At 36.6% G+C, this 25,520-nt stretch overlaps 1 protein-coding gene across 6 annotated transcripts in view, besides 1 other annotated feature; it reads left to right on the top strand.

Annotated features, from left to right (window-relative positions):
- Window positions 1-24,837, top strand: part of THSD7A (thrombospondin type 1 domain containing 7A) — a 461,834-nt gene extending 436,997 nt beyond the window's left edge. For 3 of the 6 annotated variants that reach the window (NM_015204.3, XM_047420039.1, XM_047420040.1), the window contains 5 exons: window positions 12,586-12,681; window positions 15,490-15,572; window positions 15,922-16,132; window positions 18,545-18,632; window positions 19,324-24,837. In NM_015204.3, coding sequence (NP_056019.1) covers window positions 12,586-12,681; window positions 15,490-15,572; window positions 15,922-16,132; window positions 18,545-18,632; window positions 19,324-19,408 — 563 coding nt within the window. In that variant the 3' untranslated portion in view covers window positions 19,409-24,837. The remainder of the gene's footprint in view (window positions 1-12,585; window positions 12,682-15,489; window positions 15,573-15,921; window positions 16,133-18,544; window positions 18,633-19,323) is intronic. The other 3 variants (XM_006715659.2, XM_006715660.2, XM_006715662.2) reach the window with 3 other exon arrangements.
- Window positions 2,250-2,750: an enhancer, noted in NCBI's record as "H3K27ac hESC enhancer chr7:11432079-11432579 (GRCh37/hg19 assembly coordinates)". NCBI's record gives its function as "activates a minimal SCP1, AML or CMV promoter by ChIP-STARR-seq in naive H9 embryonic stem cells {active_cell/tissue: H9 hESC(naive)}" and the evidence as "EXISTENCE:reporter gene assay evidence [ECO:0000049][PMID:30033119]".

Raw genomic sequence — 25,520 nt, 5'->3', positions numbered from 1 at the left:
GGTTTAAAGTCTGTTTTATCAGAGACTAGGATTGTAACCCCTGCTTTTTTTTTTTTTGCTTTCCATTTGCTTGGTAAATATTCCTCCATCCCTTTATTTTAAGCCTATGTGTGTCTTTGCACGTGAGATGGGTCACCTGAATATAGCCCACCAATGGGTCTTGACTTGTTATTCAATTTGCCAGTCTGTGTCTTTTAATTGGGGCATTTAGCCCATTTACATTTAAGGTTAATATTGTTATATGTGAATTTGATCCTGTCATTGTGATCCTAGCTGGTTATTTTGACCATTAGTTGATGCAGTTTCTTCATAGTGTCGATAGTCTTTACAATTTGGTATGTGTTTGTGCTGGGTCTGTCCCACAGACCCTGGCCGACCGATGAATGAAATGAGTACTCGGCCACAGGTATGCAGTGTAAGAGCAGCTAGGCGTCTGCCTGGCTATAGCTGCCAAAGTGCAGCCCCGAGAAGCTGGAGCTGCATGCTTTTATTCAGTGTAGGCGTGATTCCAAAAGCCTGGAGCAAACACAATCTGTGGGTAACTAACATTTATTGTTCCCCTTTCAAGGAACATCACGTGTGCGGGTGATCAAAGATCGGTTCTTGGTCAACACAAGTAAACAAGCCTGTTTAAGATAAATTCCCCTACACTCCCTTGTACCTACTCCTTGCCCTCTGCCTCAGGGTCAGAGAACAGCTGCCTTTGGCTATTCTCCCGCAAAGCCAGGCAGAGCCTTCGCACCTTTCCGAAGGCCTGCTCCTTTCCCTATAGTTTCTCCCACCACTCTGACTGATCTACATGTTTGCAGTGGCTGGTACCAGTTTTTTCTTTCAATATTGAGTGTGCCCTTTAGGAGCTCTTGCAGGCCTGCTGGTGACAAAATCTCTCAGCACTTGCTTGTCTGTAAAGAATTTTATTTCTCCTTTGCTTATGAAGCTTAGTTTGGCTGGATGTGAAATTGTGGATTGAAAATTCTTTAAGAATGTTGAATATTGGATCCCAATCTCTTCTGGCTCGTAGGATTTCTGCAGAGGGATCCACTGTTAGTCTGATGGGCTTCCCTTTGTGGGTAACCTGACCTTTCTATCTGGCTGCCCTTAACATTTTTTTCGTTCATTTCAACCTTTGTGAATCGGATGATTATGTGTCTTGGGGTTGCTCTTCTCAAGGAGTATCTTTGTGGTGTTCTCTGTATTTCCTGAATTTGAATGTTGGCCTGTCTTGCTAGGTTGGGGAAGTTCTCCTGGATAATATCCTGAAGAGTGTTTTCCAACTTGGTTCCATTCTCCCCATCACTTTCAGGTACAACAATCAAAGGCAGATTTAGTCTTTTCACATAGTCCCATATTTCTTGGAGGCTTTGTTTGTTCCTTTTTATTCTTTTCTCTCTAATCTTGTCTTCTCACTTTATTTCATTAAGTTGATCTTCAATCTCTGATATTGTTTCTTCTGCTTTATCGATTTGGCTATTGATACTTGTGTATGCTTCACGAAATTTTTGAGCTGTGTTTTTCAGCTCCATCAGGTCATTTATGCTGTTATCTAAACTGGTTATTCTTGTTAGCAATTCATCTAACTTTTTTCAAGGTTCTTAGCTTCCCTGCATTCTGTTTGTTAGAACGTGTTCCTTTAGCTCAGAGGAGTTTGTTATTACTCACCTTCTGAAGGCTACTTCTGTCCATTTGTCAAAATGATTCTTCATCCAGTTTTGTTCCCCTGCTGGCGAAGAGTTGTGATACTTTGGAGGAGAGGAAGCATTTGGGTTTTTGGATTTTCAGACTTTTTGTGCTGGTTTTTCCTCGTCTTCATGGATTTATCTACCTTTGATGTTGGTTACCTTCAGTTCGGGGTCTCTGAGTGGACATCCTTTTTTATTGATGTTAATGCTATTCCTTTCTTCTTCTAACAGTCAGGACCCTCTGCTGCAGGTCTGCTGGAGGTCCACTCCAGACCCTGTTTGCCTGGATATCACCAACGGAGGCTGCAGAACAGCGAAGATTGCTGCCAGTTACTTCCTCTGAAAACTTCATCCCAGAGGGGCACCTGCCAGATGCCAGCCAGAGCTCTCCTGTATGAGGCATCTGTCAACCCCTGCTGAGAGGTATCTCCCAGTCAAAGACACAGGGGTCAGGGACCCACTTCGGGAGAGAGTATGACCCTTAGCAGAGGTCAAACACTGTGCTGGGAGATCTACTGCTCTCTTCAGAGCCATCAGGCAGGGATGTTTAATTCTGCTGAAGCTGCACCCACAGCTGCCCCTTCCCCCAGGTGCTCTATCCTATCCCAGGGAGATGGGAGTTTGATCTATAAGCCCCTGACTGGGGCTGCTGCCTTTCTTTCAGAGATGCCCTGCTCAGGGAGAAGGAATCTAGAGAGGCAGTCTGGCTACAAGGGCTTTGCAGAGCTGTGGTGGGCTCTGCCCAGTTCAAACTTCCCAGCAGCTTTGTTTACACTGTGAGGAGAAAACTGCCTACTCCAGTCTCAATAATGGTATACACCCCTCCTCCCACCAAGCTTGAGAGTCACAGGTCATCTTCAGACTGCTGTGCTGGCAGTGAGAATGTCAAGCCAGTGGATCTTAGCTTGCTGAGCTCTGTGGGGGTGGGATCCACTGAGTTAGTCCACTCAGCTCCCTGGCTTCAGCCCCCTTTCCAGGGGAGTGAATAGTTCGGTCCTGCTGGTGCTCCAGGCCCCACTTGGGTATGAAAAAAAAACTCTTGCAACTAGCTCAGTGTCTGCCCAAACAGCCACCCAGTTTTGTGCTTGAAACCCAAGGCCCTGGTGGTGTAGGCACCCGAGGGAATCTCCTGGTCTAGTGGGTTGCAAAGACCATGAGAAAAGCATAGTATCTGGGCCGGAATGCACCATTCCTCATGGCTTCCCTTGGCTAGGGGAGAGAGTTCCCCAACCCCTCGCACTTCCCAGGTGAGGCAACACCCCACCCTGCTTCAGCTCACCCTCCATGGGCTGCACTTACTGTCCAGCCAGTCCCAATGAGATGAGCCAGGTACCTCAGTTGGAAATGCAGAAATCACCCACCTTCTGCATCAATCTCACTGGAAGCTGCAGGCTGGCACTGTTCCTATTTGGCCATCTTGGATCCAGGATCTCCCTATGTGAAATCTTAAAAAAAGAAGTTGAGATTCTGGGCAAGATGGCCAAATAGGAACAGCTCCGGTCTGCAGATCCCAGCGAGATCAATGCAGAAGATGGGTGATTTCTACATTTCCAATTGAGGTACCCAATTCATTTCATTGGGACTCGTTGGACAGTGGGTGCAGCCCACGGAGGGCAAGCTGAAGCAAAGTGGGGCATTGCCTCACCTGGGGAGCGCAAGGGGTCAGGGATTCCCTGCCCTAGCCAAGGGAAGCTGTGAAAGACTGTGAACGGTGTACTCCAGCCCAGATACATCGCAGTCTTTGCAACCCGCAGACCAAGAGATTCCCTCTGGTGCCTCCGCCACCAGGGCCCTGGGTTTCAACCACAAAACTGGGTGGCAATTTGGGAAGACACCTAGCTAGCTGCAGGAGCTTTTTTTCATACCCCAATGGCACCTGGAATGCCAGCAGGACAGAACCATTCACTGCCAGGACAGAACCATTCACTGCCCTGGAAAGGGGGCTGAGGCCAGGGGGCCAAGTGGTCTGGCTGGGCAGGTGCCACACTCACAGAACCCAGCAAGCTAAGATCCACTGGCTTGAAATTCTCGCTGCCAGCACAGCAGTCTGAGGTTGACCTGAGATGCTCGAGCTGGGGAGGGGCGTCTGCCATTACTGAGGCTTGAGTAGGCTGTTTTACCTTCACAGTGTAAATAAAGTCACCAGGAAGTTCAAACTGGGCAGAGCCCACAACAGCTCAGCAAGTCTGCTGTGGCCAGACCGCCTTTCTAGATTCCTCCTCTCTGGGCAGGGCATTTGTGAAAAAAAAGGCAGGAGCCCCAGTCAGGGGCTAATAGATAAAACTCCTATCTATCTCCCTGGGACAGAGCACCTGGGGCAAGGGGCACTGTGAGTGCAGCTTAGGCAGACTTAAACATCCCTGCCTGATGGCTCTGAAGAGAGCAGCAGATCTCCCAGCACAGCATTTGATCTCTGCTAAGGAACAGACTGACTCCTCAAGTGGGTCCCGACCCCACGTCTCCTGACTGGGAGACACCTCCCAGTAGGGGACAAAAGACACTTCATAAAGGAGAGCTCTGGCTGGCATCTGGCAGGTGCCCCTCTGGGATGAAGTTTTCAGAGGAAGGAACAGGCAGCAATCTTTGCTGTTCTGTAGCCTCTGCTGGTGATATCCAGGCAAATAGGGTCTGGAGTGGACCTCCAGAAAACTCCAGCAGACCTGCAGCAGAGGGTTCTGATTGTTAGAAGAAAAATTAACAAACAGAAAGGAATAGCATTAACATCAATAAGAAAGGACGTCCACTCAGAGACCCCATCCGAAGGTCACCAAAATCAAACACCAATGGTAGATAAATCCACGAAGATGGGGAGAAACTAGCTCGAAAGGGCTGAAAATTTCAAAAACCAGAATGCCTCTTCCCCTCCAAAGGATCACACCTCCTCACCAGCAAGGGAACAAAACTGGACAGAGAATAAGTTTGACGAATTGACAGAAGGTGGGTAATAACGAACTCCTCTGAGCTAAAAGAGCATGTTCTAACCAAATGCAAGGAAGCTAAGAACCTTGAAAAAAGGTCAGAAGAATTGCTAACATGAATAACCAGTTTAGATAACAACATAAATGACCTGATGGAGCTGAAAAACACAGCTCAAAAATTTCGTGAAGCATACACAAGTATCAATAGCCAAATCAATAAAGCAGAAGAAACAATATCAGAGATTGAAGATCAACTTAATGAAATAAAGTGAGAAGACAAGATTAGAGAGAAAAGAATAAAAAGGAACAAACAAAGCCTCCAAGAAATATGGGACTATGTGAAAAGACTAAATCTGCCTTTGATTGTTGTACCTGAAAGTGATGGGGAGAATGGAAAACACTCTTCAGGATATTATCCAGGAGAACTTCCCCAACCTAGCAAGACAGGCCAACATTCAAATTCAGGAAATACAGAGAACACCACAAAGATACTCCTTGAGAAGAGCAACCCCAAGACACATAATCATCAGATTCACAAAGGTTGAAATGAACGAAAAAATGTTAAGGGCAGCCAGATAGAAAGGTCAGGTTACCCACAAAGGGAAGCCCATCAGACTAACAGTGGATCCCTCTGCAGAAACCCTGCAAGCCAGAAGAGAGTGGGGGCCCATATTCGACATTCTTAAAGAAAAGAATTTTCAAGCCAGAATTTCATATCCAGCCAAACTAAGCTTCATAAGTGAAAGAGAAATAAAATTCTTTACAGACAAGCAAATGCTGAGAGATTTTGTCACCACCAGGCCTGCCTTACCAGAGCTCCTGAAGGAAGCACTGAACATGGAAAAGAACAACTGGTACCACAAACGTAACAAATTGTAAAGGCCATCAACACTATGAAGAAACTGCATCAACTAACAGGCACAATAACCAGCTAGCATCACAATGACAGGATCATATTCATACATAACAATATTAACCTTAAATGTAAATGGGCTAAATGCCCCCAGTTAAAAGACACAGACTGGCAAATTGGATAAAGAGTCAAGACCTATCAGTGTGCTGTGTTCAGGAGACCCATCTCACGTGCAAAGACACACATAGGCTCAAAATAAAGGGATGGAGGGATATTTACCAAGCAAATAGCAAAAAAAAAAAAAAAAAAAAAAAAAAAAAAAAAAAAAAAGCAGGAGTTGCAATTCTAGTCTCTGATAAAACAGACTTTAAACCAACAAAGATCAAAAGAGACGAAGAAGGGCATTAAATATGGTAAAGGGATCAATGTAACAAGAACAGCTAACTGTCTTAAATATAGATGCACCCAATGCAGGAGCGCCCGGATTCATAAAGCAAGTTCTTAGAGACCTACAAAGAGACTTAGACTCCCACACAATTTAACACACCACTGCCAATAATAGACTGATCAACATGACAGAAAATTAACAAGGATATTCAGGACTTGACTTGAACTCAGCTCTGGAACAAGCAGACCTAATAGACTTCTACAGAACTCTCCACCCCAAATCAACAGAATATACATTCTTCTCAGCACCACATCACACTTATTCTAATAGTGACCACATAATTGGAAGTAAAACACTCCTCAGCAAATGCAAAAGAACAGAAATCATAAACAGTCTCTGAGATCACAGTGCAATCCAATTAGAACTCAGGATTAAGAAACTCACTCAAAACTGCACAACTACATGGAAACTGAACAACCTGCTCCTGAATGACTTACTGGGTAAATATTCTCTGAAAGCAATGAGAACACAGACTCAAAGTACCAGAGGGAAGTTTATAGCACTAAATGCACACAATAGAAAGCAGGAATGATCTAAAATTTACACTCTAACATCACAATTAAAAGTGCTAGAGAAGTAAGAGCAAACAAATTCAAAAGCTAGCAGAACTGAAGGAAATAGAGACACAAAAAACTCTTCTAAAAAATCAATGAATCCATTACCTGGTTTTTTGAAAAGATCAACAAAATAGATACACTGCTAGCCAGACGAAGAAAGAAGAAAAGAGAGAACAATCAAATAGATGCAATAAAAAATGATAAAGGGGATGTCACCAGTGATCCCACGGAAATTCAAACTACCATCTGAGAATACTATAAACACCTCTATACAAATAAAATAGGAAATCTAGAAGAAATGGATAAATTCCTGGACACATACATCCTCCAAAGTCTAAACCAGGAAGAAGTCGAATCCCTGAATAGACGACAAGTTCTAAAATTGAGGCACTAATTAATAGCCTACCAACCACAAAAAGTCCAGGACCAGATGGATTCACAGTCAAATTCTACCAGAGGTACGAAGAGAAGCTGGTACCATTCCTTCTGAAACGATTCCAATCAATAGAAAAAGAGGGAATCCTCCCTACCTCATTTTATGAGGCCATCATCATCCTGATACCAAGACACAACAAAAAAAAAAAGAAAATTTCAGGCCAATATCCCTGATGAACATTGGTGCGAAAATCCTCAACAAAATACTGGCAAACTGAATCCAGTAGCACATCAAAAAGCTTATCTACCACAATCAAGTCGGCTTCATCCCTGGGATGCAAGGCTGGTTCAACATACGTACATCAATAAACATAATCCATCACATAAACAGAATCAATGACAAAAACCACATGATTAGATGCAGAAAAGGCCTTTGTCAAAATTCAACACCCATTCATGCTAAAAATTCTCAATAATCTAGGTATTGATGAAACATATCTCAAAATAATAAGAGCTATTTATGACAAACCCACAGCCAATACCATACTGAATGGGCAATAACTGGAAGAATTCCCTTTGAAAACTGGCACAAGACAAGGATGCCCTCTCTTACGACTCCTATTCAACATAGTATGGGAAGTTCTGGCCAGGGCGTTCAGGCAAGAGAAAGAAATAAAGGGTATTCAAATAGTAAAAGAGGAAGTCAAGTTGTCTCTGTTTGCAGATGACATGATTGTATATTTAGAAAACCCCATCATATCAGCCCAAAATCTCCTTAAGCTGATAAGCAACTTCAGCAAAGTCTCAGGATACAAAATCAATGTGCAAAAATCACAAGCATTCCTATAAACCAATAACAGAAAAACAGCCAAATTATGAGTGTACTTCCATTCACAATTGCTACAAAGAGAATAAAATACCTAGGAATACAACCTACGAGGGATGTGAAGGACCTCTTCAAGGAGAACTACAAACCACTGCTCAAGGAAATCAGAGAGGACACAAATAAATGGAAAAACATCCCATGATCATGGATAGGAAGAATCAATATTGTGAAAATGGCCATACTGCCCAAAGTAATTTACAGATTCAGTGCTATCCCCATCAAGTTACCATTGACTTTCTTCACAGAATTAGAAAAAAACTACTTTAAGTTTCATCTGGAACAAAAAAAGAGCCCGCATAGCCAAGACAATCCTAAGCAAAAAGAACAAAGCTGGAGGCATCATGCTACCTGACTTCAAACCATACTACAAGGCTACAGTAACCAAAACAGCATGGTACTGGTACCAAAACAGATATATAGACCAATGGAACACAATAGAGGCCTCAGAAATAACACCACACATCTACAACCATCTGACCTTTGACAAACCTGACAAAAACAATCAATGGGGAAAGGATTCCCTATTTAATAAATGGTGTCGGGAAAACTGGCTAGCCATATGCAGAAAACTGAAACTGGACCCCTTCCTTACACCTTATACAGAAATTCACTCAAGATGGATTAAAGACGTAAACCCAAGACCTAAAACCGTAAAAACCGTAGAAGAAAACCTAGGCAATACTATTCAGGACATAGGCATGGGCAAAGACTTCATGACTAAAACACCAAAAGCAATGGGCACAAAAGCCAAAATTGACAAATGGGATCTAATTAAACTAAAGAACTTCTGCACAGCAAAAGAAACTATCATCAGAGTGAACAGGCAACCTGCCGATTGGGAGAAAAATTTTGCAATCTATCCATCTGACAAAGGGCTAATATCCAGAATCTACAAAGAACTTAAACAAATTTGCAAGAAAAAAACAATGCCATCAAAAAGTGAGCAAAGAATATGAATGAGCACTTCTCAAAAGAAGACATTATGCAGCCAACAAACATGAAGAAAAGCTCATCATCACTGGTCATTAGAGAAACACAAATCAAAACCACAATGAGATACCATCTCACACCAGTTAGAATGGTGATCATTTAAAAGTCAGGATACAATGGATGCTAGAGAGGATATGGAGAAACAGGAACGCTTTTACACTGTTGGTGGAAGTATCAATTAGTTCAACCATTGTGGAAGATAGTGTGGTGGTTCCTCAAGGATCTAGAACCAGGAACACCATTGGCCTCAGCAATCCCATTACTGGGTATATACATAAAGGATTATGAACCATTCTATTATAAAGACACATGCACACATATGTTTATTGCAGCACTGTTCACAATAGCAAAGACTTGGAACCAACCCGAATGCCCATCAATGATAGACTAGGTAAAGAAAATGTGGCACATATACACCATGGAATATTATACATCCATAAAAAAGGATGAGTTCATGTCCTTTGCAGGGACATGGATGAAGCTAGAAACCATCATTCTTAGCAAACTGTCACAAGAACAGAAAACCAAACACCACACATGTTCTCATAAGTGGGAGTTGAACAACGAGAACATATGGACACAGGGAATGGAACATCACACACCGGTTCCTGTGAGGGGGTGGAGGTAAGGGGGAGGGATAGCACTAGGAGAAATACCTAATGTAGATGACAGGTTGATGGGTGCAGCAAACCACCATGTCACGTGTATACCTATGTAACAAACCCCCAGTTACTATGAGAGTATAACCTTGGCAGTAAAACCAGTTAAAAATAAAGTTACTTATGAAAGTAGATGTCAAAATCATAAAAATAAAATATTAGCTAACCAAATTAATATTTAATAATATGACTATAATTGTTGAAATACAAAGATAACCAAATAATTGTTGAAATACAAAGATAACCAAATATTAATAAAATCTCTTAATGTAATTTATCACATTAACAGAAATAAAGATATAATTTTTTATACACATTAAAAGGTATTTCTAAAATTCAGTTCACTTTCACAATAAAAACTTGTAGACCAAACTTGAACTAGAAGAGAATCTTTTTACTTAATAAATAAGGTCTATCAAAATTTACACAAACATCATAATACATGGGGAAACATTAGAGGCAGGCTCTTGGAATCAATAACAGAACAAGGATACCACTGTTGCCACTTATTTTCAACCTAGTGAAGGAGGTTCCAGCCAAGTGTCATCAGAAGTTTAAGAATTGAAAATGAAAAAATAAAATTATCATTCTCATAGTATATGAATTTCACATTTTAGACAATCAAGATAATTTATAGACGACTGTTTGGAAGTAAGAAAATTCAGAAACATTGTACAATTTAAAAACCAATACACAAAATAAATAGTCTTTTTTTTTTTTTTAACCAGCAAAACTGTTATAAAATTGAATTGGAAAAAGCTGCATTGACAATAAAACTAAAACTATAAAAAATAAATGCAACCAAAATCATCTAAGATAGGTATGAAAAATTATAAAATCTTATTGGAAGATATGAAACTAAAACGTTGGTGAAAATGTTTATGAATAAAAAGCCCCAATATTATAACATGTAAATTTTATACAGATTTACCTATAAAATCTATGCAATTTGAACAGGTTGTTAATGTAATCTGAGAAATTGATCCTAAAATTAAGTCAGAGGAGTTAAAGGCCAAGAAGATCCCAGAATGTTTTTAAGAAGGAAAAGTGGGAGACTAATTCAAGGGACTTACATGGCTTTATATCAAGACTTACTCTAAAGCATCAATAGTTAAAAAGGGTAATTGATCAACAATTAAGCCATTAGACTAAAAGAATAGAAAAGAGAATCTCCACGACAAATTCTTATGTAGGTAAGTAAGTGGCAGAGGGAAAGTCAGTGGGAGAATGAGTGGATGAATAATATTGCCAAAATGTGTTATCCATATCAAGTTTTAAAAAATATCTTTAGCTTACATCACATACAAAACTATATTTTCAATAAATTATAGACCTAAAGATGAAGAACAAACTGTAAATACTAAATATAAGAGGATATTTTCATGAACTCAAGGTAGAGAAGGATTTCCTAAATATGACACCAAAAGCACAAACAAAAATGAAAAAATTTTAAATTTCTTTAAATTAAAATTTAAAACTTCTACACAGTAGAAGGTTACAGGACAAGCCACAAACTTGAAAAATATACTTATGAAGCCAATTAATTTCAAAGGATTCATGTCTAGAATAGCAAATCTAGAACTTTTTGATCCAAAACAAGTTAATAGTCTTAAAATTGTTGAGGACCTGAAAGAACTGTTCTTTTCTGACATGTATAATTTTAAAAATAGAAAACTTATAATATTTATTAATTTATTTAAAATGATCAAAAAACAAAATTGTATGTTACTATAAATAACAAATTTCCTGCAAAATAAGTTCACCATAACAAATGGAAAATAACTTTAATGACGAGAGTGGTCTTGTTTGGATTTTTGCAAATCTCTGTGAAGTCTAACTTAAGACAGCTGGATTCTCTTATCTGCTTCTGCATTCATCTTATTGCAATCTTATTTTAGTTTATGTATGTAAAGAAAATCCAACCTTACACAGATTGTAGTTGCAAAGAGGAAATCCTCACTCACACTCTGAAAGAATGTCAGTGTCTCCCAGGGTCTCTGAACCGCACTTTAAGAATCACTGTTCCAGAATGAAGAATTTCTACAATTCAATGAGAAAAAATATAGAAGGCCAAATGTTTAAATAAGCAGCTTGCATACCAGGAGATCCAAATGTCCTGAAACATTTTTGTTACTGTTCAATAACTTTAGTAATCAAGGAACTTTAATTTAAAATGACAAGATAACTTTCCATACCCAAAAGACTAACCAAAAAAAATTAAAATCTGGCAATTATAAATTTTCATGAGTGTTTAGAGCAATGGCAGTCTTTATGCACTACTGATGGATTTGTAAATTGTCACCTTTTGCAGGAAAAAAATGGGCAATATTTAATAAAGTTTCAGCTAGCCATACAGTGATACCAAGAAATTTCCCTTCTAGATATGTAATTTAAAGAAGCACCAGGCCATTTGCACACAGTTGACCTTCAGAGCATTGTTTGAATAACAAAATTAAAAATAATCTAATAGAAAAATAGCTAAATAAACTGTGTTATGTAGTACAATGGAATTCTATGTAGCCGTTAAAATAAACTGACTGTACTACATTTTTTAAAATCACTTAGAAGTATTTCACCTGTAACATTGACTAAGTTTCAGAATGCTACACAGAATAGGATACATTTTTAAAATTTATGACTGTATGAAAGTAATACCATATATCATTTCTGTATATAGTAATTATGTGTGTGTGCGTGTGTGTATAGTGAAAAAATTAAAAGCATGGCAAAGAAAGTCATACATCTTCAGAATAGTATGTATTGCTGGACAGACAGGGAGGGTGATCAGAACAGAAAAGAATATAATTATATATCTCATGTTTTATTCATCAACAAGCTAATGAAAACTGAGGCAAATATGGATAAATAATATTTGTTAAAATTGCATGATGGGAGATATATATATATATATAACTATATATATATACAGTTATTCTCTATACCTGGCTGCATATTTATTTCATAATATTTTTTAAAAATTAAATTAAAAACCTAGGTTCCCACCAGGTAGTGTGACAGCAGACATGGAAAATTAGTTGGGATTGAGGTATATAGCTGCAATTTTAAACATATGCATGGCAACTTCAGGACAATAAATTGACATTTGAATCATCAGAGATGAGCTTATTACTTTTCAGTAATATGTTATTAATACTCTATCCCCATGATTGTCCTTCTGGGTAACAGAATGCTTCTGCTAATGTTTATTATTTCCCTGCAGATGGACAGTGCTATGAATATAAATGGATGGCCAGTGCTTGGAAGGGCTCTTCCCGAACAGTGTGGTGTCAAAGGTCAGATGGTATAAATGTAACAGGTAAACCTCCAGTTTCTCTTTGTCCTTTGAAAATCTTCCTGTAACACACATGTGATTGGTTGAAGAAAATAATTAAGGAAACAAAGTTACTCTTTCAGTATTCAAAGCCTGTTTGGGATTCAGGATGCCTAAGCTGTATATACCCATCTGGTGACCAATGACAAATTATTTTATTTTATAGGTGGTTCAAATTATCTCTCACCTAGCCTTTTTAGGTATTGCTGCTGAAACTTAATTAAAATACTATCTAATTCTAATAAATAATTGTTATAAATAATTTTCAGATCTTTTCTAGAAATTTTATATATGAGTAACTTACTATATGTTTAAAAATCAATTTTTTTGACTTTCTGCTTCTGTGCCTTGAAGGCAATATAAATGCAGACCAAAAATACCAGCAAGGGAATATGATTATACAAATCCAAATACCTTGCTTAAATTCAGAAGTCTATGATTTAGAGATTTTTAAATTAATTAATAGGGAAGACCTACTGGTAAATTTCAAACCCAGACCATCTGAGCAGCTGACCTACTGTGCCTGCATCCCCAAATTATTATATATCCAAAGAAGAAATCCAAAGGAAGAACTTTATTTGATTGTACTTCGACCAACATATACCTCCAAAGAACTACTCTAGTGTGGAATTACTAAAAGCCTATCTGAAGCCTGTAAGCGTGAGGGATCCTAAGGACCCCTTGAAGGAGGAAGAGACTTTGGCTCAAGATAGGTAGTGAACCACCAAGCAAATTTCCTAGAAAGAAATACAAGTCAGAACCAGAACCTTAATTTCAGGCACATGGACCCAGAAATCTAAGCCTTTCCATAAGCAATTTCTTTTTATAAATCTAACTTATAGGAATTGCCATAGCATAGCAACAGCAGGAGTCTTGACAGTTAACTGCTCAGGCAGACCTGCTTACTTGCTGCTGTTTTGACCCTGCTGCGGGGGAAAAAACAGTGTGCATTTGGATGCCTCTGAGTGATGTTTGTTTAGAAATTTAACTTTAATATATACAGTAAGAAACAGGAGCAAGGATCAATATGGTTTTTGAAAACTATCCATCTTTATATTGAATTTTAAATTACCTGGATTTATTGAAACCCAATTACTTATTTCCTCCATATGGGAGCTGGATCAGGATGTCAATTTTTTTCTTGTGAAGATATGATTTTATACATGAGAAAGCTCTCTCAAGAAACCCTTAATAATAACAACTCCCTGTGGTCACATACGGAACAAAGAAAAGACATCTAGTAGAAACCCTTTGCTCTCTCACTGTATTATTTTTTGGGAGAAAAATCTGCTCCATCTACCCCACTCTAAGAGGTATGGAGTGAGAAGAGTCCTGAGAGGGATAGACAGGCTTTCTGAATGAGGAGGTGTTACAGAAGTCATCCATTGAGCTCAGAGATTGGAAACGAATGTCTCCATTCTTTTTTAAACTATTCAAAGAAAATTTAACAGCTTCTCTAGATGATCCTGTAAGTTTGCAGTTTTTTTTCAATAATGGATGCAAATAATATTTACCTGACTTTTCTTCTACATATTCAAAACTCTTTTTCCACTGCAATTGGGGCTATTCCCCCAATGCAAAGGTAAGTCGAATTTTAAAAGACTTACCTATAAAATCATATTTTTAATTTCTTTTCAATTCAGCAAAGTGTACAATGGATTATTTCTAATGCTATTCAGTACCAAAAGGCCAATGTGTAAATGATTTGTGTTAAGCTCTATATGCATTCTTCTTTCATCTTTTAGGAGAGATGAGATTCTTTATGACAAATAGACAAGCATGTAAAGTATATTACCTATCTTGATCAATTGCTTTAATTTATGAATTGTCCTTGTAAGAAACTCAAAATACTGCTTTGTGTGTGTGTGTTTAATAATAACTTCAGTGTGGCCAATTAACTGCGATTGCCTTGCAATGACTAACTGCTTTTCTGTGACAATTTTTCTATGAGTATTTTGTGATTATAATATTGAGAGAAACACAGACAATTAGCAATAGGCGCCTGTGATTAAATTCCAGAGAATCATCAGTTCCATAAATAAAGAAAAAATTTTGTTTTGCTAAAATTCTGTTAAACTGAACAAGTATAGTTTGAAAATAGGAGCTTCCTTCACGTCACCAATGTTTTTTATGACATCTATTTCCATCTTAAAACCTCACTTGAGACAAATTAGGCACAGTTGGTACTACACTTGAAAATAAACGAGATAAACAGCTGTAATATCAAGTTAAAACCATAGTGCAAAACAAATGATTTCGTAGATACATTTGTTTTCTTCTCTATATCCAAAAAACACCATGAATTAGCAGAAATTGTGACTTTTCTGAAAAAGAAATATGCATTATTTAAAGAAAACATTTATTTAACATAAAGAGCTGAAGAGTTATTTCAAAGTACGTGAAAACTATTGTTTTGAATCTCCAAGAAAGAATTTTAACTTGAAATGAAATCAGCTTTTCAATTGCTGGACTTGGATTCATGTGCTCCTGACAGAAAAAGCTTGTGTGCAATTAGTATTTTCAAAATAGCAGCTATAAAATCATTCTTTCAACAAATGCTTGTTGAATACCTGCTGAGTACCAGGCACTGAGCTAGCTCCCCTGGGTAAAAAGGGCCTGGAGTCACTACATAAGGTGGTCAAGGTTAACCAAATATTTCACAGTCAACCACTGACAGAAAAATTCCTGGGATTCCCAAGGTGGTTCAAGATTCAAAGACAAGTCACTAACCACAGTGTATTTTCATCATAGCAAAATATATTATTTGTCAAAACATGATTTTCTGTTCCGCAGGGGGCTGCTTGGTGATGAGCCAGCCTGATGCCGACAGGTCTTGTAACCCACCGTGTAGTCAACCCCACTCGTACTGTAGCGAGGTATGTGAAAATTCATCAGGGCAGACAAGCCAGCTCCATCATGTGTCACCCCACTGTCTCTTATGCAGTTTATCTTCCTCCAAAGAAAGCATGTCTTGAGGCATAAAAATCCCATTTTAGACATCTCCTTTTATCAATCTAAAAAGTCCTGACTTCACTTGCTTTCACCTTTAGAATACATTTTCATATAATGCCAAAAGTATGTTTCTTTGTAGTTAAAAATAATAGAGGAATTATGTATAGTAATTCCCAAAACAAACCTTGTTTAAAGCCTTCTCTTCAAGTCAGGTCTGTTAGACTTCCAAAGATTCCTTGCATGGCTAGTATAAATCTTCTTGTTCTCCTGCAGACAAAAACATGCCATTGTGAAGAAGGGTACACTGAAGTCATGTCTTCTAACAGCACCCTTGAGCAATGCACACTTATCCCCGTGGTGGTATTACCCACCATGGAGGACAAAAGAGGAGATGTGAAAACCAGTCGGGCTGTACATCCAACCCAACCCTCCAGTAACCCAGCAGGACGGGGAAGGACCTGGTTTCTACAGCCATTTGGGCCAGGTGAACTGACTAGACTAGTGTTGAAAGAGAAACCTTTAGTTCTTTTAGGCAATGCCAAAGGATTAAAAAAGTGAGCAAAGCATTTTTATATGAGCTATTGATTATTTTATCTACATGCATTTATTCTGATAGTGCCATCTATTCTTCAATTTTTTACTATCATTATGGAAAATAACTCATGTTTGAAGTTCAGAGAAATGAAATTACATTCTTCTGAGAAAAAATTTTGGATCAATATAATTCAATTCAATTCCAGTCCAAAAATTACAAGTATAATTAATTTCAAATTGAACAAAGTTAGAAACATGAATTTTAAAAAATGTGTTGTCATTCAGAACTAGGATAAAGGAGACTATAAAGACATTCCAGAATTTTTCATTTGATCATAGGAACAGTAATAGTTTGACCCTTAAATAAAAACATCACTAATGCAGTTCTGTGCCAGGGCACACGTGGTAGCTAGACCAGTTTCTATTAGCCCTAAAAGTCAGCATACTCAAATACTTGGAATCTGTACTAGTGCCAGATAAACAGGGAGACAATGGAGCCTTCCCTTCTGGATAGGATGATCCAAATTTGTTTTCACATTCACAGACAGCTCTTAATGTATCTGGTAATAAATGCAAAGCCAATACAGGCAAATGCTTGAATACCTCATGATATGCTATTCTCTACTCTGCACACTTTCCCTCCTCAGTTGGATTTCATCATATGCTCATCCCTAGAACTAACCTGGTGCTTGAAAATGTGCTACATGGATTATAAAGCAGCTAATATGCCACTTTTTCTCACAACCTGGAAGAACTACTAGTCTATGAAGTAATCTCCAGGCAGAGCCAGGCATAGTCTACTTTAAAATGCCATTAGAAACATGAGAAAAGATGGAAGGAATCTGCATAGCTAGCACATCTCCATTTCTATGCATTAAGTCTGAATACTTTCCCTTATTGGAGAATAAATATTGGATTTTTAAGATATTTTAAGTGTTTGGGTGATTTGCTTTTAATCACATTATTCCTGCTTTAATTGGCTTATTTAGCTGATAGTATGATTTATTTTGCAAAGCTGACTTATCTGTGTAAGCATGGGAAACTCTTCCCTCAGTGTTTAAGACAATGGACTAGCAGACAACCAGTAGCAATTTTGACCTTCACTAAGAATTGAAGCAGATCTCCTCAGATCAAAACCAGTCCTTTTGAAAAAAAAAAGAATATTATTGTCATTATTTTAAATTTTATATATAGTTTCCCCAAAGTTAAAATTTTAAAATATTTAAAAGGTGCATGTTCTGAAAACTTAGATATTCTTTGATTTTGAAAAACCCCAAAAAACATTTGTTGAAGAAACTCTCAACAGAGATCCTCAATCGTGGAACAGCTCTTTTGATTCTAAACTGAGCTCAAATTTAAAAAATGAAAGCTTTAGGATTAGAAAGAAAGGATATTTAGAATATTAATTGAGTTTATTCCCAGCAAATGAACCTCTAACTTGATCTAACTCCGGGCAAAAAAATTCCACAGTACCAATTTCCATTTGATGCCTTTCAAATATTGAATAAACCAGAGTCTGTGTGAGGTCAATTTTGCCCAATCTATAATTTTAACACTAAGATCAAATATTTAATTGCAACAGAAAATATATGTTGATGTGAGGATCAAATTAAATTAGCCAATATCATTAATAACATCTTGTGCTTGAAGTTTATTCGGAGCATAGAACTGAGGAGTTCAAAGATGAGACCAGAAACCCAAATTACAAAAGTTCCTGTTATGTCTGATTCCATATAATAGAAAAGGTAGAAAAAAAATTATTTATAGATCCTTTTATATGTTAACCAAACCAGTTGTTTTTGAAAATGACATTGTCAGCCAATTTTAAAACACATTGTAAGTGCAGACTAGATAAAAGATTATTAATTCCATAAAATCTTAAATATATTCACTTTCATTTTACCTGGAATAAAAATGACAAAGTTTTTGTTTAAATACCTATATGCATTAACTCGAGTTTGTAGAAACTTTCTTAAAATTGCATTTTTCATCTTTTCTTCTCATTGCAATTCTCAAAATACACTGAAAATCAGAAGAGAATGTTTATATAGCATTACACATGTATTGAGTTTGAAGTAAAATTGAGATGAAAGGCAGCTGAAGTTTAGCCAAAGAAACTTGAAATCTGAAGTCAAACATTTATAATTTTTCAGTTCAGTTTTCCTTGATAGCTTATCTTTAATGAAGCAGAATCTAACTCATAATAGCAGCTTTGCATTAATCATTAACTGTGCTGAAGCAATAATTCTTTTCGGGTTTTGAAAGAAATTGGTCATATATGACTGATCATTGGTCATAGTTAAAGACTGCCTCATGTATACCAGACTAATGTAAATTAATAACTAATATCCATTCTTCTTAGATGGGAGACTAAAGACCTGGGTTTACGGTGTAGCAGCTGGGGCATTTGTGTTACTCATCTTTATTGTCTCCATGATTTATCTAGCTTGGTGAGTGTTTAAATAATTAAAAATCCAAAGAGATACTTAATCGTAACACAGAAACAGCAAACTAATGTCTCAAATAAGTACTCTACATTTATCTGGTGTTCACATGAATTTCTAAATAAACATGGCTTTAGTCCTAGATGGGCTAAAAGCTACCAAATCTGAGCCATTTCGTTTCTAAAGATGAGCAAGAGCTTGCTGCAGGTCATCTTCTCGAGTATGTTCTCTTGCATACTTTCAAGAAAATATTGCTTTGTACTCAATATGGTGAACTGTAGATTTTTATATTGAATTACTAATGGAGGAAGATATTACAGTAATACCTAATCATATTCAAGTATCTTCTAAAACATGTATAATTTATAAATTATGCATTATTTATAAAGGTTTCTGGCCAAATGAAAATGACCCTACTATGATTTTATTTCTGTTGTTAATACTAAAAGAATCCCACTTGGATAATTTATCTTTTGTAGGGTAGTGAAACACTTGAAGTTTACTTAGAGTTTATTCAAAGCATAAAACTGAAATTCAAGATCAGAAAATCAAATTCTAAGGTAGATAGACTTTAGGCAACGCAGGCAACGAGGCAATTTCAGTTTATCAATTTGCTTTTACTTTTTTTTCGCTTAAAGCAATCAAATTTACAATTAGAAACTGATTTTCTTTCTCCTAATTCCGAATTTTTTTACAGCAAAAAGCCAAAGAAACCCCAAAGAAGGCAAAACAACCGACTGAAACCTTTAACCTTAGCCTATGATGGAGATGCCGACATGTAACATATAACTTTTCCTGGCAACAACCAGTTTCGGCTTTCTGACTTCATAGATGTCCAGAGGCCACAACAAATGTATCCAAACTGTGTGGATTAAAATATATTTTAATTTTTAAAAATGGCATCATAAAGACAAGAGTGAAAATCATACTGCCACTGGAGATATTTAAGACAGTACCACTTATATACAGACCATCAACCGTGAGAATTATAGGAGATTTAGCTGAATACATGCTGCATTCTGAAAGTTTTATGTCATCTTTTCTGAAATCTACCGACTGAAAAACCACTTTCATCTCTAAAAAATAATGGTGGAATTGGCCAGTTAGGATGCCTGATACAAGACCGTCTGCAGTGTTAATCCATAAAACTTCCTAGCATGAAGAGTTTCTACCAAGATCTCCACAATACTATGGTCAAATTAACATGTGTACTCAGTTGAATGACACACATTATGTCAGATTATGTACTTGCTAATAAGCAATTTTAACAATGCATAACAAATAAACTCTAAGCTAAGCAGAAAATCCACTGAATAAATTCAGCATCTTGGTGGTCGATGGTAGATTTTATTGACCTGCATTTCAGAGACAAAGCCTCTTTTTTAAGACTTCTTGTCTCTCTCCAAAGTAAGAATGCTGGACAAGTACTAGTGTCTTAGAAGAACGAGTCCTCAAGTTCAGTATTTTATAGTGGTAATTGTCTGGAAAACTAATTTACTTGTGTTAATACAATACGTTTCTACTTTCCCTGATTTTCAAACTGGTTGCCTGCATCTTTTTTGCTATATGGAAGGCACATTTTTGCACTATATTAGTGCAGCACGATAGGCGCTTAACCAGTATTGCCATAGAAACTGCCTCTTTTCATGTGGGATGAAGACATCTGTGCCAAGAGTGGCATGAAGACATTTGCAAGTTCTTGTATCCTGAAGAGAGTAAAGTTCAGTTTGGATGGCAGCAAGATGAAATCAGCTATTACACCTGCTGTACACACACTTCCTCATCACTGCAGCCATTGTGAAATTGACAACATGGCGGTAATTTAAGTGTTGAAGTCCCTAACCCCTTAACCCTCTAAAAGGTGGATTCCTCTAGTTGGTTTGTAATTGTTCTTTGAAGGCTGTTTATGACTAGATTTTTATATTTGTTATCTTTGTTAAGAAAAAAAAAGAAAAAGGAACTGGATGTCTTTTTAATTTTGAGCAGATGGAGAAAATAAATAATGTATCAATGACCTTTGTAACTAAAGGAAATCAAAATTATATGTTGATTTTTCTTTCTCTCTGATTTCCCAGTTTCAGATTGAATGTCTGTCTTGCAGGCAGTTATTTCAAAATCCATAGTCTTTTGCCTTTCTCACTGGCAAAATTTGAAGCAATCTCTCTCTTCAATGTATGATTTCAAAACTAAAATTTTAAAAGAGAAGAATAAATATCTTATCCAAGACTTCATTGCATATCTAGAGCAAGAGTGGCAAACTTTTTCTGTAAAGGACTATATAGAAAATATTTTCCACAAGGTCTATGTTGCAACTTCTCAACTTTGCCATTCTGCTAATGCAATCTTAGTAAATAAAAGAATGAACATAACTGTTTTCCTATATAACTTCCCTTACAAAAACAGCCAGTAGGCCACCTTTGCAGGTCATATTTTGCTGACCCCTGGTCTGGATGTTTTTTAATGCTAGCTCTCCATGGTGTCATCTTTCGTTTTCATTCATTTTTCAAAGGTGAGAATTTACAGTCATTACATTTCCCACTGTATCAGAAGTAGCTGTATTTTCTACAGATGTAGCCCTGGGAATGGCACAGTGGAACAATATTTAACTAACTCAGCAGACTTCTTGCAAATGAAAAGAAAACTCAAAAGGTGCCATTAAAAAGCAATACCATTTTCAGGCAACATTATTGCAACAACCTTTGTGAGAGAGGACACTAGCTTTTCAGGATATTTGAAAAATAATATAACTAACATGCTATTTTATCTTAAACAGCTGTGTTCCTGTAAAAGTGTTTTGGATTAGAAGGTATTTTTACCTTCATACTGGAGTATGAACTCCCCCTGCTGTTCATTAGAGTATTTGCAAAGATTACAAAAGACATCAGGTTAGGATGTCATTGTCCCCAAAATGAAAATATTTGTATGTATTTCAATAAGAACTAAATGCAGTAAGCGCTAATTCCTCATTCAATATTCACTATATTAGGAAATGTAAATCATTTCAAAGAGAACAGGTAGTCAGGAAGATGAAAATTTTACTTTAAAGCAAGGATTTAAACAAAGAAAACCATAAAAACAAAGTCCATTTTATCTGTTTTATTAAAGAGGAAGAAAAAATAATATTGTTACTTTAAAACTGTGATTGTCAATATATATAATCAGGGGTCTTCCAGATAATCCTAAAGTTGATCTCTTTGAATAAAATAAACTCCATTTGTCCAAAATAGTTAAGAAAGACTCTATTGTGGTTACTTGAAAAATTCAGCTAACCCTCTTATGAAATGTGTGCAACACCTATTAATTTTGAAATGTGGGATAGAATACCTACTAAAGCTATATTTAAGGTATTGTAAAATGTCATTAATTCAGAAAAGATTAGTATCATCCTACCTATAAGAATTAAATTAGCAAATCAAAATTATAGAATGTTATGAAAAATACATTTTATTCATAAATTAATTAGATTTTACAGCATATATGCATGCATATATATATATACACACACACACACACACACCCATATATATGAGAGAGAGGAAATTAGGTTCAACATGACCTAATATTAGAGAACATATTGGAAGGTCACTGTTTGTTAGGATAAATAAATACTGGATAACCTCGTTAGAAAGGTGGAAAGAGGAGAACGTAGCAATCTGGCTATTTTGGACAAAGGGAAGGTTATTATATTCATGTTTATAACATGAAAATGGCCTTATTTTTGTTTCTGACATGAGACAATAATGAGTTAAATATTTTATTGGAATTTCATCAAAACCTTATTTTTACTGTTCCTTCTAAAAATTTGGGAGGGGAATATAGTAGTAACTTCTCTATTGACACTTTTACCTCACCGAGGGGGTAAAAGATGTAGAACTGCTGTTCCCTAGAATGAAGGTCTGTTGTTTGGTTTTTAAAAAAAGAAGAGCAGAAAAAGTTTGACACAGTATTATATGATTTTGCTGGACTATTTCACTAGAAACCACGTAGAATAGGACTAACTGATCTCTTTTGAAAGGGGCTGATTTGCTTATTCATCAATAACTAATCCAATATGTGGACAGTAATCTTAATTTCAAAGCCTTTTTTGAGGATACTACGGTGTAGCTTAAGTGAATTTAAAAAGAGTGCATAAAAGCTTGTTTTTAATTACTTATAACAAAGCACAAATTACTTCTAACAAGGCAAATATTTATTGACATATAAGACATTCTGCTAGGCATTGTAAAAAAAAAAAAAAAAGTAATGGCTTTTGTATACATAGGTACTTAAGACAGACATCCAAAAGAAGGAAAAAATGCTTAATGAGTGAAGATAGCACTGAAACATGTTGACTTTTACTCTAGGTTTGTTTTTAGATGGGGTTAGTATTTTCCCCTACGTAATGTACATGTCTTTAGGCCACAGTATTAGGAGTTTGATTTTTCCCTGCCCCACCCTCAGGTAGGTGGCAGTGGTCATTGTAGCTTAATCAGACCCCTGTTAAGTTCCTGGGCATTTCAAGGTAAATTCACGTCTTCCTTCTCACAGAAATTGAATAGACCTCTCACACACTTATTTACCTCCCCCAACAACCTGTATCCTTGGCCCTTTCTGATTTTCTCTGCTTGGTCTCTTTCTACTCTTGACAGCTATTCTTACCTACTTCCCACTAAACATGCCCAATTTTTTAATTAAAAAAAAAAGAATTCCTATATTTCCTTCCCTATTAGAATCAAAGTGTCACTCACTCAGAGTGTGAACATCCTGATTTACACCAAATCCACTGGTCAAAGAAATGAATAAAGGGAAAAGGAAAAATGTGGAAGGCATGCAGGAAAAAAAAAAAAAAAAAAGCCCTTTTCTGTAAAAATGTCCATGCCTACACTTGCTTTAGACCATCCCATATCCTCCTGCCTCCATCTCGAGTCTTTGTTCACATTCCACACCACAAGACAGTGAGGGAGGACTGTACTTTTCAGTACCATACAGAAGGGAGAGCCTGTTCTAAAGCTGACGTGGGTCTCAATAGTACATGAGAAGCACAATTCCCAAATGATCTGGGATCTCCTGTTTATAAATATATTACCAAATTCAAGTGTGGGTTCTTCTTCTATTTCCACTGTAAGATTGAGGGTGTTGAAAAAACAGTAGTCCTTGAGCAAATCTGTGAGGAATCTTGTCAGAATGTGATCTTTCCTGGGACTAGTTTAGTTGTGAGAACTACATCTGCTTGTTCTGGGAATAAGGGTCTCCCCAGGTCCTGCCCTCAGGTGGCCCTGGCTGCAGGACAGGATTTCAGGTATCAGAAACTGGTGTGTGAGCCAAGCAAATAGTTATCCATTTATAAAAAGGATGGTTTGCAGTGTGTTATAATAATTTTATATCTAGCAGGGACAATGAAAAATGGTTATGTCTACATTATTAAATGAATGAAACTAATGCTAAACAGTTAATTTTGCATTTTTATTTTTCTGTGTTTCTACCAAGTCAGATCTTAAAAATGGGCAGTATATGAAGAGCTTTAGTTTGTGGGAGTCATGTTTTCAGTGATCAAAAATCTCTATATTATTTAGAATATAATTGTCAGTCTTGTTGTGTTTTGTAGATTTATTGTTTTTAAGCCATAGTTTCTAGATTACCTACTTTTAACCCTCAAGTAAACTTTTCCCTATTTTTCAGAAATCTGTTTGTGTTTATTTTTAGAAAGTAAACATTTAGATTCCTTTTCTGGTACTTTTTTTCTCCATTTCTATCACACAGATTTGAAGAGATCAGTATCTATCATTGTAAAATATAACTTTATTAAAATTTGCAATCTGTCTTTCTATAAATTATTATTCCCTAAATGTGTATTTTATGTTAATTTAACTACCTGAATATTTATTTTGTTTAAATAAGGAGGCAGCTGTCTAAGAATTTTTGTTAATATTACTTTGTAAATTGCGTAATGTAATTTATTTTACATTATGTACATTTCCTTTTTAACGCACAAAATGTCTATGTACAATTAACTACAGATTTGCAAATAATGTCACTAAGCTTTATTCAGTCAATACAGATGGCATGTGAAGATGTAATATGCTTTTTTACATTTTCATATGGGTTATTTGTAAATAACTATATTGCTGACAAACATAAATACGGAAATCATTTTCATTCTAATCATGTGTATCTGTGTTTTGATTTGCACCAATTGCTTCTTAAATATGGATTAAAATTTTTTTCCAGTGAATACCTAAATCCTTTTACCTACTGTATTGCCCTTTCCTGGGTTGTATAACAACTCCAATTTAGAAAGTTCAAGAAATGCAAACTTTTACTTTGAAAGTTGGCTGAGGCCACCAGGTGAATCATGGACAAGGGACCTCCTGGTTTCCAGTCAATTCAAAAATGGCAGCAGCAGAGGATGGGGAAACTCTCTACAACAGAGTACAGCTTTTCCCACCCAATCAGTCATAAGGCACATCCCTCACTGTCTCTTGTCCCTGTGTCTACCCACAAAAAACCAAACCTAAAAGTCAAAGCAGAAACTTATGCCTTAACAAATTCAGGAAGGGACACACAACTTAAGACAAGTTACTTCCGGGGTAGTTTGCAGTTAAAACATTTTCTGAAATAGCTATTTGCTAAAATGTAAGTAAGTAGGGAACCATTTAAGCCCTCAATCTGTGAACCACTCAGAACATGTAGCTAGCCTACATGCTTGATGAAAAAATGGTAATTTCCAGTCTTTTTCTTTTCTGTATTACTCATTACAAGTGAAACTAGGTGAAAAAAATTTTCAATGTATCACACAGATTTTTTTCTAGAAATCTGGACTTTCATAGTCAAATAGCTAACTTCATTTATTATTTTGCAATTCCAATTTATGCCCTACAAACAAAAATATGAATATTACTGGTCTACATTTTATTT

This window comes from Homo sapiens, chromosome 7, assembly GCF_000001405.40.
Source record: "Homo sapiens chromosome 7, GRCh38.p14 Primary Assembly".
Lineage (NCBI taxonomy): Eukaryota > Metazoa > Chordata > Mammalia > Primates > Hominidae > Homo > Homo sapiens.
The sequence above is the reverse complement of the archived record's forward strand: the minus strand, read 5'-3'. Positions and strand labels throughout refer to the sequence as shown.